The sequence below is a fragment of the Homo sapiens genome, chromosome 11, assembly GCF_000001405.40.
Source record: "Homo sapiens chromosome 11, GRCh38.p14 Primary Assembly".
NCBI classification, from domain to species: Eukaryota; Metazoa; Chordata; class Mammalia; order Primates; family Hominidae; genus Homo; species Homo sapiens.
The window spans coordinates 28,293,036-28,305,176 of NC_000011.10; the positions used below are offsets into that span (position 1 = coordinate 28,293,036).

Below are 12,141 nucleotides of genomic sequence, written 5' to 3' on the forward strand. Positions count from 1 at the left end.
CTGTGCAGAAGCTCTTTAGTTTAATTAGATCCCATTTGTCAATTTTGGCTTTTGTTGCCATTGCTTTTGGTGTTTTAGACATGAAGTCCTTACCCATGCCTATGTCCTGAATGGTATTGCCTAGGTTTTCTCCTAAGGTTTTTATGGTTTTAGGTCTAACATTTAAGTCTTTAATCCATCTTGAATTAATTTTTGTATAAGATGTAAGGAAGGGATCCAGTTTCAGCTTTCTACATATGGCTAGCGAGTTTTCCCAGCCCCATTTATTAAACAGGGAATCCTTTCCCCATTTCTTGTTTTTGTCAGGTTTGTCAAAGATCAGATAGTTGTAGATATGCGGCGTTATTTCTGAGGGCTCTGTTCTGTTCCATTGATCTATGTCTCTGTTTTGGTACCAGTACCATGCTGTTTTGGTTACTGTAGCCTTGTAGTATAGTTTGAAGTCAGGTAGCGTGATGCCTCCAGCTTTGTTCTTGTGGCTTAGGATTGACTTGGTGATGCAGGCTCTTTTTTGGTTCCATATGAACTTTAAAGTAGTTTTTTCCAATTCTGTGAAGAAAGTCATTGGTAGCTTGATGGGGATGGCATTGAATCTATAAATTACCTTGGGCAGTATGGCCATTTTCACGATATTGATTCTTCCTACCCATGAGCATGGAATGTTCTTCCATTTGTTTGTATCCTCTTTTATTTCATTGAGCAGTGGTTTGTAGTTCTCCTTGAAGAGGTTCTTCACGTCCTTTGTCAGTTGGATTCCTAAGTATTTTATTCTCTTTGAAGCAATTGTGAATGGGAGTTCACTCATGATTTGGCTCTCTGTTTGTCTGTTATTGGTGTATAGGAATGCTTGTGATTTTTGCACATTGATTTTATATCCTGAGACTTTGCTGAAGTTGCCTATCAGCTTAAGGAGATTTTGGGCTGAGACGATGGGGTTTTCTAGATATACAATCATGTCATCTGCAAACAGGGACAATTTGACTTCCTCTTTTCCTAATGAATACCCTTTATTTCCTTCTCCTGCCTAATTGCCCTGACGAGAACTTCCAACACTATGTTGAATAGGAGTGGTGAGAGAGGGCATCCCTGTCTTGTGCCAATTTTCAAAGGGAATGCTTCCAGGTTTGCCCATTCAGTATGATATTGGCTGTGGGTTTGTCATAGATAGCTCTTACAACAGCTCTGAAGAAAGTGTGTGACATTTGAAAAGGGGGAATTGATTCACATGAATTCATTGAAAAAGAAAAGTCATAGATTCAAACATGTGCAATGCTAATCCAAGTGGTATATGTTTGCCTTGGCTAATCCAGGCCAAAAAATGTGGCCTGTCAATTCCTGAAAGGAGATGTATCCCTGTGATGAAGACGGATGCAAGAGACTTCCTTAACCAGTCGCCATTTAACACTAAAGTCTTAAAACATAGTTTATTCTCTGCTGATTCCAATTTCAACAGCAGCTTTCAGATTATAGTAAGGTTTCTCATGTAGAAGCAATAGAAAGAAATTCATAGCTTCAAGAATTTGAGAGTCTAGTTCTGTTGGCAGTTATAGTCTTCACTGGAAGGTAATTAATTGTGTCTGTATTTTCTAAGTTTAGTCACTGTAAGTCAGTGAACTCTGGAGGACTGACAAGATCAAATCTATTAGTTGGGGGGCAGCTCTTGGATCTTGACTCCTTGACCACATGAATGCCTATTCTGAAGCTGTCTAGCAGCCTGCCAAACCTTCCAGTGTTGCACCTTTTGCACTGTAGCACTATGGAAACTTCTATCATTGTTAATATAGAGTAAAATAAAATTATATGTATTGTCCAATTATTTATTTAGAGTAAAATTATGTGTTGAACAAAATACTTTTTAATTTTCTTATTTTAACATAGAAAAGTATAATTAAAAACTGCTAAGTACATCCATACTCGTCATAATATTATCTTGGTAAAGCTGGACTGTATCCCATGGATAAATTTCTAAATTTCACATCATTAACACAGTTCATTCAAATGCTCAGTGGTTTGAGCAGCTGAATTCACAAATAGGTCAGTTTTAGCAGGGATTTTTGTCATTTAAGCCACGAATTATGCCTTGCAAATTTATGAATGGGGAAGATCTAAAGGACAGTGGCATGCATTGAGCATCTTTTATGTTCCAGGCATTGTATTTCTGTTTTACAATTGTGTGCACCAATAATTATCCAAACCATTCTGTGAGTTAAGAATTGTTACTTTCATTTCACAGGTTAAAAATTGAGGTTCTAATAGGTTAAAAGTCTTACTCAGTATGAGTAGCAGGACCAGGATTCTAATCCAGATCAATTGAACTCCAAGGACCAGATCTTCATCCTGAAAGCTGAAAGAGGTGCTGGCAGCCTACTGAGATAGAAATAGGGCTACCTTACAAGACATTCATTGTTCTGTGAGTTTAACGGCAGTCCGACATAAAAACAATTATTGTAAGCTACTCGGGAGGCTGAGGCAGGAGAATCACTTGAACCCTGGAGGTGGAGGTTGCAATGAGCTGAGATTTGCCTTTGTACTCCAGCCTGGGCAACAAGAGCGAAACTTCGTCTCAAAAAAAAAAAAATAATAATCTGAAAAGCGAGGTTTGGACAAAAAAGAGAGACAAAGAGACATCAAGAGAGATGAAAGTCATGACAAATCGGGGGATAAGCCAAAGACAGCAAAAAGATTTTCTCCTAGAGGCACTAGGCTTAACAGTGTATATTTTAGTATTTTTAAGGAGAGTTTCAGGTGTTTGTTGGCAACCCCACTCTGGTTGGACCCTCAGTTCTTAAAGCTACCATACCCTTGTTACTTACAGATCCTCACAGTCTGTTACCAACAATCAATCCAGCATATTAACTGTAAGAGCAGTAACTGCACCATTAGCAAAGCTATTTTTCTAATACGTAAAGTCATAATTAACTCATCACTTAGAATTCTTTGGCCCATTTCCCTAAGGTAAACAGGAATGGTCTGACAGAGTAAATGCTGTTTCTGACTATAATTTATTCTATTTGACCAGAGGTTGGTATTTTTTATTCCTCCTCCATCTAAAATTACTATCTAGACTTGTTCAATACTGCTTATTGATTACCAGGTTTTACCATATGGTGTCCTTTGTTACAGAAGAATGACCAAATATTGTTAAACATTTGAATAATATGTATCATTGCCATTAAAGTTGTATGAGTTTTTGTGAGGGAAACTGATCAGCAGTATGTTTTTTATAGATTTGCTAAGTTCAATTTGTGTCTCCACAAGTAATCAGTTATTTTACAGCCTCAGATTTAGTCAAGTTCTTGAGTTAGACTTTTTAAAATATCATCAGCAAACCTTGTATCTTCCATACTGCAAAAAACATTCAAGCAGTAATTTAAATTTTGAACAACTTAAATCTAACCATTTTTCATTGTTTTAGTTTGAGAAAAATACACAGGAAATAAAAATTTCTTTGTGAATTAAAGTTTAAGGTTAGTATATTTTGACTTCCTGCTGCCTTGACCTTGATGAATGTTATAAACCATCACCACTTGCCATAATGATGGGTAGTTGAAATAGAAAGTCTATTTCATTTGTTTAAGGTTTCAGTTTCTGACTTTAAAACCTCACTTCTCCTAGAGTATGTGTGTGTGTCTGACTTTATGTCTCAGTACTCTGAAGTTTCACGTCTTGTCAATGAGAACTGATGTCAGTGAACTAATTGGCTCTTCTTGTGCGTAGGTACCCTGACATGCCCACTGCTGCTGATGTTGTGAATGCTTTAGATCAACAGGCACTTGCATCTATCCTAAGAACATACGGGGAGGAGAAGCATGCCAAGAAAATCGCTTCAGCAATTGTTCAGGCACGCAGCATCTACCCCATCACCAGAACCCAGCAGCTTGCCAGCATCGTTGCAGGTAGCCTCATTAATTCTCAACAGTGTCTAAGAGAAAAAATTATATTTACATGTGTGCATGTGTTTGTGTGCATGCACGCATGCACATGTGTGTGTGCATTAATCCCCCAGACTCCCTGAGGGATTCATTTGTACTTGAAATCCAGGATAGAATCTTGCCTATCCTTCTCTAATGTCAGCTTTCTTTTGCTTTTGCATGCTTCTCCCCCAAAAAACCTCTCCCCCAAATACAATTTTTAAAAAAATATACTGTAGTTTGCTAATTTGTATAATAGTAGATTTTTATTTTACACAGGATAATTTATCATTTGTGTCTACCAAGGTGAAACATGGAATGATGAGCAAAAGGATTTCTTGATCCATCGCAGTGGTTGATAAGCACCTGTATAAGATCTGACATTACTTCTCTTAGTTTCACATTTCTGCATTTTAATATTTTGGGCAAAAGGAGAATTGCATTGCCCAAATGCTAAAATAAAATACAGTGACTCATATATCTGTTCTAAACAACCAACTAACAAAGGGTATATGATGTATAGGTTATTCCACTTTGTGAATGCTAACTAAATCAGCCTTAGGGGCTTATTGAAACATTTCATCTTTTCTGCTATTTCGCTATTCACCACCATAAACCTCTTGAACCTAACTCTAGCTAGGAGGCGCTTTATTATAGCCTCTCTGTTTGAAGCCAAAGTTGTTTCACAGCTGTGTTCCGTGATGAAAGTTTTCCAAGGCAAAAATATAACTCTTGCAGTTATTTAACAGAATTCCAATGGTAAAATTTTCATCTTGTTGAACCATCTGAAACCCTGTATCATTTTTATTTACCAAATGTATTAAGATTTTTTTTCAGTGGTTCCTATTAAATTACTTAAGTAAATTTTAAGAAGTTTTTAAAAAAGGAATATTTGTGTAACTTATAAATAGAACCTGATATTGGCTGTCTCTTTCTTAATATTATCCATAGTTTAAGAAGTAAAACTTAATTATAAATTCATTTAGATCATTACTATTTAGAGATCACATAGCAATTGTTTTATGATATAATTAAATAAGACTATATTCTACTTAGTTATTATAATGAAATATAAAGAGCTGACTAGCCTTTAATTTTTTAAGCCACATATCTCAGGGCCCTTTGAACTTACCATTGAGATTTCTTTAGGCAAGTTTAAGAGCAGAATTCTTGTGGTTATATGAACATAAAATATTTCATATTTTCCCCCCTAAAAAAGTGTGTATACCAGCATGCCGACATTAAAGTCATCCCCTGTCTGGTGTTCCTTTAACCACTCCGTACTCACTAACATGTCTCCACCGTATCCTTTCTGTAATTATTTAGCTATGTGTTATTATCTGTCTCCCATATTGGAAAGAAAAGCAGTGAGAAGTGATATTTTTTTATTTATAAGCAAATCTAAAATTGGTGCTGAAAATGAGGTGTTGGGGCTAGAGAGCATCCTAAAAATTGTCTAGTCAGCAAACCTCATCTGATTACTAAGGAAACTGAGGCTCAGGGAGGGTCAATAGCTTGCAATAGTAATCTAGAATTCAGAAGCTCATGAATTTAAGGCATAATTGGGAATCTGCCTTTAAGCTACCTTTTCTGTCTGTGCATCCTACTTTGTAAACTTGCGGAAATAACACTTTGGCATTAAGTAGAAATTATGTGAAGGTGTACAATAGGAACAATTTAAGTACCTTCAGAAAGATTATGATATGAAAAGTACATTAGAGCTATGAGAAATGATACAGTAAAAGTGAAAATATTCATATATGGTAAATAAAACCTCAATTTAGTAAATGCCATTGAAACATTGAGTTATCTGGAATTAGTCCATTTTTATGTCTTAAATATCAGTCTATAATAATACAACTTTATTAATGATAATATGAATTTTTAGAAAAGGGAAAAACAAAAATGTGTTTTCATTTTGTGCTCATTTATTCAAAAAATATTTTGAGAGAGGCTGCTTTATACTAGCTACTTCCTAAATACTAAAGGTAAAATAGGAGCTAATCAGATACAACCTCTGTGTTTACAAAGTTTATAGACTAATAGATTAAACAGTCAGGGAACTGAGTGAAAACATCATATAATAACCTCTACTTACAGTGAAAATTCTCTTTCCTATTTATTGTGATCAAGAGTTATGATAGTATGGTCAATAGAAAATTTGATAAAAGCAGATAACTATAGAACCTATAAAAATATACATATATTTGTATGCTTGCATTTTAATTGCAGTTCCATGAAGTTGATTCTTAACAAACCACACCCATGACATATGTCCTATAAGTTCTGGTTATAGTTTTAGTAAAATGAAGTAAGCCTTTAAAGGCATTTGCAAAGCCATCTGAATGAGAAGTTTTCTAGATTTTCATGATTTTAGTCTTTTATAATTGCCTCATTCATACCTAATTTGATTGAATTTTTTTTAAGTGATTCACCTTTAACAAGAGTTTCCAAAGTTTCCAACTTAGTTTTCAGGGAAACTGCAGCTGTCTTTCCTTTTGCATTCATATTTCATCAGTTTATGTAATATGTAATTAAATTATGTAATAACAACAGTGAACATTCTGGGCTGTAAGTGCACAGCTCTCTTGATGGGACTAGAACTGTATAGAAATACCAGAGAATCCAAAGAATAGAATCCTACCCTCACACAATTTGTTTAACAGAGAAAAGGGTTAAATCTGTCCAGTCCAATAAATCAAGAGGTACTACATAAAGAAAATATGAGACACAATTGGAAGGGCACAAGTTCCTGTATGGGTTTCCTCGGGCTGCTGCTACTAAGTACTACAAACTTTGTGCCTTAAAACAACAGAAATTTATTATTTTACAGTTTTGGAGACTTGAAGTCTGAAATCAAGATGTTAGAAGGGAGCTAGAGGAGAATCCTTCCTTACTATTCCTAGCATCTGGCGGTTGCCAGCAATCCTTGGTGTTCCTTGGCTTGTCGATATATCACTGTTTCTGCCTCCATAGTCACTTGGCATTCTCCCTGGGCATCTGTCTTTGTGCCCAGATTTCCCTCTTCTTATAAGGACACCAGTCATGTTGGATTTAGGGCCCACACTTAATCCAGTATATCCTAATCTTAACTTGATTATATCTGCAAAGACCTTATTTCTAGGTCAGATCACATTTATAGGTTCTGGGTAGACATGAATTGTGCTACGTAGACATGAATTGTGGGGGACTCTATAAACCCAGTACAATTCCTAAGCAATATCTTTGTTTGACAAACATGTATTTTGGCAAGCTATAATATGCAATGACTATATTTAAATGTGTTTTCTGATTCTGATAAATTCATACTAAATATGTTCAAAACTATCAAGCACTCTAGGAAATATGCAGCACAGTTCCAGACACATATTAAAATCCATATTGATGGAAATATAAATCACTTTCTTTGCTTTCCAAAAACTAATAATTCAGTAGGACAAGGAAGAACAACACACTTGGAATCACACGCTCAGTAGGATCCTGTAAGTCACGTGATTAAGCTGTTAATTGTAAAATCTAAAGTTTGGTGCGTTTTGCTAGTATAAATAACTACAGTTCCAGTACTCTTCCATATCATGGGAATTCCAAAAGACAGGTTCAAGACTCCAAGTTGGAACAGAGCACTTACAAGCATTGTGAATTACTTTGCAAATTATCAAAGCAGTAATTTATAAGCAACTTACAAGAGAATTCCAAAAACAACCTGTAGGATTTCACTGTTCTTACTACCACACATGTTCATACATATGCTATTCAGAACTACTGGCCGTGAATCTTAATATAAATATTTAACACATATGCAGTGTTATATACAGTGTTCCCTCCAAAAATGATTCATAAATAACAAGTCCACATTTTGTTAAACAATGTTTATTCTAATGTTCTAGCTAAAGAGTTGGAGTTGTAAAATCTAAGAGATGAAAATGGCCTAAGGGACTCATCTAATCTAGAACTAGATTCTTCATCACCTCTAATAAATGGTCATCTAGCTTTAGCCTCTTCATCTTCATCTCTCCTACTCCCCATTGTATTCCGGTGAAGACGAGCACATTTCAGCCTGAAGTTGCCAGTTCCATAAATATAATACAGGCGTAGAGACTTTAGAAAGGATAGATTTCTTAGAATAAAAGCAAAACTCCTTTACATGGTTTGCAACTTCCTCCATGAACTGGCTCCTACCTGTCTTTTCATCTTCCCCTTTCCACATAATAGTCTTTGTTCCAGCCATATTGAAGTTCTTATAGTCTTTCCAGCACACCATAGTCATTCACCTGCAGGCCTTGGATGTCCTTCTGCCTGGAATATTGACCTTCCTCTTCTCTCATCTCCCTGCCCTACCCCTACCCTTTTCTCTGGCTAATTTCAGCTCATCCTTTAGAGCTCAGTTGAAATGCCACTTCCTCACAAAGTTTTTTCCAACTTTACTCACATTAGTTGAGATGGTCTCCTATGTGCTACCATTGCACTGCATTCCCTTGTCTGGCACTTATTATGCTGTATCTTATTGCTTGCTTACTATTTAAATATTCCCTTAGATTTATATTGTGCAACACCATTGTCAACAGCCACATGTGGCTATAAAGCACTTGAAATGTAGTTACTCCGCATTAAGAGGTGCCATGAATCTAAAATATGCACCAGATTTTGAAGACTTAGTTTGAAAAAAATTATAATATTACAAAAATAATTTTATCTTCATTACATGTTGAAATGGTAATATTTTAGATATATTAGGTCAAATAAGGTATTAAAATTAATATTTTGCTTTTTAAATGTGGCTATAGAAAAATGTTAAATAACATGTTTCACATTACATCTTTTTTGGACAGTATTGTTCTAGACTATAAACATCAAGATTATAAGCCCTGCTGTGACTTTTGTACTAATTACTGTATCATAGCATTTAGCCTAATGTTTGACACCTGAAAGGTATTTAGTAAATACATTTTTTAGAATTTTTTATTAAAAAGCTTTTTTTAAGTGACAGGGTCTCCTTCTGTCACCCAGGCTGGAGTGCAGTGGTGCAATCATAGTTGAAGGCTGCAGTGAGCTGTGAGGATCAAGCTGTCCTCCTGACTCAACCTCCTGAGTAGCTGGGACTACGGGTGCCCAACATCACAGCAGGATAATTTTTTTAATTTTTATTTTTAGAAATAAGGTCTCACTATATTGACCGTGCTTGTCTCGAACTCTTGGCTTCAAGCGATCCCCAACCTCCTGGCTCAGCTTCCTGAGTAGCTGGGATTACAGGTGTAAGCAACTGCTCCTGGCAATACTTTTTCAATGTTAATTTATACAGTTAACAAAGTGCACATTCAATCAGAAAAGCTCTGCTTTTAGAATGTTTGGATTCAGTAAAATAACTTCAACGTTAATTTTAAAAATTGATGTTCAGTCTTGTAGGTCATAAAAAGCAAATGTCCTCTTAAATGGTTTGGCTCTGTGTCTTCATCCAAACCTCATCTTGTAGCTCGCATAATTCCCATGTGTTGTGGGAGGGACCCACTGGGAGATGATTGAATCATGGGAACAGGTCTTTCCCGTGCTGTTCTCATGATAATGAATGGGTCTCATGAGACCTGAGACCCTAACACAAGCTCTCTTTGCTTGCTGCCATCCACATAAGAGATGACTTGCTCCTCCTTGCCTTCTGCCATGATTGTGAGGCCTCTCCAGCCATTTGGAACTGTAAGTCCAATTAAACCTCTTTCTTTTGTAAATTGGTCAGTCTTGGGTATGTCTTTATCAGCAGCATGAAAATGACCAATACGTCCCCCACAACATTAACACTAACATATGCAGGTAAGTTAGGAAAACTACATTGCCCTCTAGTACTTTATTCATCTTTGTAAGTTGAAATGATATTAATTCCCATCTTATTCTTTAAGAATGCTGTGAAGAATAATAATGCTTTGATAGAATATTTTTATTAATTAAAAATCCTTCATTATGATGAATGACACATATAAAAATTCTCAAGCTCTTCAGAAGAAAGAAAATTTATGCACTTAATTTTGAAAAAATGGCCATGGTCTGGATTTTGCAGAATTGATGTATTTGATGTATTGATGTTTTGCATAGTCTTAAAAATGAGATAGATTCTAGACATCCCTTTGAATAAAGAAATCTGGGTATTTTCCTCAAGAGGCTGGCTGCCCATATTTTATATTTGAGCTTTTTCGTATTCTAGCGCTCTTTTCATTCTCCGGTTACATCAAGGAAATTACCAGTTAAATGCTAACTAGTTTAATGAAAACATCTTTGTTCAAGTCCTGGTTCTTCAACTTGCTGTTTGTGTAAACTTGAATAATTCTAGACCTCATCTTTCTCATCTTAAACTGGAGGCAAATAATAGTTATGATAATAATCATTAATTTTCTTTAGTAAACATAACCATGCCAATTATGTTTTGCTTAAACCAATGTTGAAATTCACTTGTAGTCTCAGAGCTCATGTTAAAAATCAAAGAAGTATACCAGTCACTTTTCAGATCATTGAGATTTAGGTTAAATAAAAATAAAATAATTGATAAAATAGATAATTGATCTCTAAACAATCAAAAGGTGACAGAAGGCTTATAATTATTTGAATGAGAGGAGGGGGAGAAACTTCTTAGATATTTGTGATTCATGTTGATTAAATGTATAGATTTATTCCTTTCCTGAAACTTTTGTGTAACCTTTATTCTGACTCATAAACTGGGTACATAACCAGAGATTAATGAATGCTTGTTGAACAAATAAATCAATAAAAGGATACGTACATTCCCAGCCAAAGTAAAAATGAAAATTCAAGGGGAAAAAATATATAAGTTCTTAGGTGTTACTGAGGATAAACTGTACTTTTTCCGTCATGTTGAAGAGGGAGACAACCTGAGCATCAAAGTCTTCAGTATAAATTAAAGCAGCTTGAGGAATAAGTGAGACCCTCCAGGACATGGAATCAAAAATTCTCAAGTTTTGTTTCTGTTTGTGCCACTTATTTGTTCTGTGAACTTGAGTAAGTTCACTTATCTTCTCTGACCCTCATTTCCTCATCTGGAAAATAGGAATAACAAATCTTGCTATGACTAATAAATGACATTTATTATCTGTGAAATTTAAAGTGCAAATATTCTTGTAAGCATTTTTTTTTCTCCTCTGTATTCAGAGCTAAGGTAATTCAGACAGTAAAGGAATGCAGTAGTTGGAACTCTTGAGTGTGGACTTCCATTTCCAATTCTATTTTCCTGTCCATAACCAAACAGTGTGATTTGTGATAGATTGATCACTTCATTCCAAGATGTTCTTCCCTTAGGAGTTATGTGACTTGTAGGAAGGAGAAGAATAATTGTCTTTTTCTGCACTGGGACATGTTAAGGTATATCTTTCCACAGTGGCATCAATGGCTCATGCCTCAACCTGTATCTGAAACCATCATCTTTTTTCAGCATCATTTTGTTAATCCAGAGAGAACCTTCAAAATAAAAGATAATGATAAGATAAAATTTATGCCAGGCGCAGTGGCTCACTCTATACTGCAAGCACTTTGGGAGGCCAAAGCAAGCTGATCTTGAGTCCAGGAGTTCGAAACTGGCCTGTTCAACATGGTGAAACCCTGACTCTACTAAAACTACAAAAATTAGCCGGGTGTGGTGGTGCATTCCTGCAGTCCCAGCTACTCAGGAGGCTGAGGCATGAGAATCACTTGAACCCGGGAGCTGGAGATTACAGTGAGCTGAGATTGTGCCACTGCACTCCAGCCTGGGTGACAGAGTAAAACTCTGTCTCAAAAATAATAAAATAAAATAATAAAATTTATTAAGAAATAGTCATTATCTTTTAGTTGGAACATAAACTTATTCCTGATCAAGATAATTTGACATCCTTTTATTGTTTAATAACTTACATGTTGCTTCCTTCATTTTTCTCAAAAAATACTCTTTATACTAACATTGCTGTGATTAAGAAATGGAAGGAAAAGTGTTAGAGTGTTCAGTTTTCACTCTGATGGAAAATGGTATGGTCAAACCTACAGTTGAATTTGGATGGCTCCCCAATATATCATAGTTGTCATTGCCACTGCTATGAAAATTACACTTATTCTTTTGTCATTTCAAATTTCTCGAACTCAATCTATTACACACTGTATGTATAGTGACATGCCAACTAAATTAGCAAATGACATTTTTTAAGTAAACTTATGTTTTATTTCTTATTTTAATAAGTAATCCTTTCAAAAGACATTCTGT

At 35.4% G+C, this 12,141-nt stretch overlaps 1 protein-coding gene across 11 annotated transcripts in view, besides 2 other annotated features; it reads left to right on the forward strand.

Annotated features, from left to right (window-relative positions):
- METTL15 (methyltransferase 15, mitochondrial 12S rRNA N4-cytidine) overlaps positions 1–12,141 on the forward strand; it is a 424,088-nt gene that overhangs the window by 184,648 nt on the left and 227,299 nt on the right. For 8 of the 11 annotated variants that reach the window (XR_007062458.1, XR_930849.3, NM_152636.3 and 5 more), the window contains one exon: positions 3,718–3,896. The exons of 1 other annotated variant lie outside the window; for it this stretch is intronic. Coding sequence is in view for 8 of the 10 variants with exons in the window: in NM_152636.3 (NP_689849.2) it covers positions 3,718–3,896 (179 nt within the window). In the remaining 2 variants the exon portion in view is untranslated. The remainder of the gene's footprint in view (positions 1–3,717; positions 3,897–12,141) is intronic. 2 more of the 11 variants (NM_001297775.2, XM_011519941.3) reach the window with 1 other exon arrangement.
- Positions 158–350: a silencer, noted in NCBI's record as "fragment chr11:28314740-28314932 (GRCh37/hg19 assembly coordinates)". NCBI's record gives its function as "represses an EF-1alpha promoter that drives an FKBP-Casp9 reporter gene in an ReSE screen in HepG2 liver carcinoma cells {active_cell/tissue: HepG2}" and the evidence as "EXISTENCE:reporter gene assay evidence [ECO:0000049][PMID:32094911]".
- Positions 3,482–3,531: a silencer, noted in NCBI's record as "silent region_3212". NCBI's record gives its function as "represses an Ori minimal core promoter by ATAC-STARR-seq in GM12878 lymphoblastoid cells {active_cell/tissue: GM12878}" and the evidence as "EXISTENCE:reporter gene assay evidence [ECO:0000049][PMID:35858748]".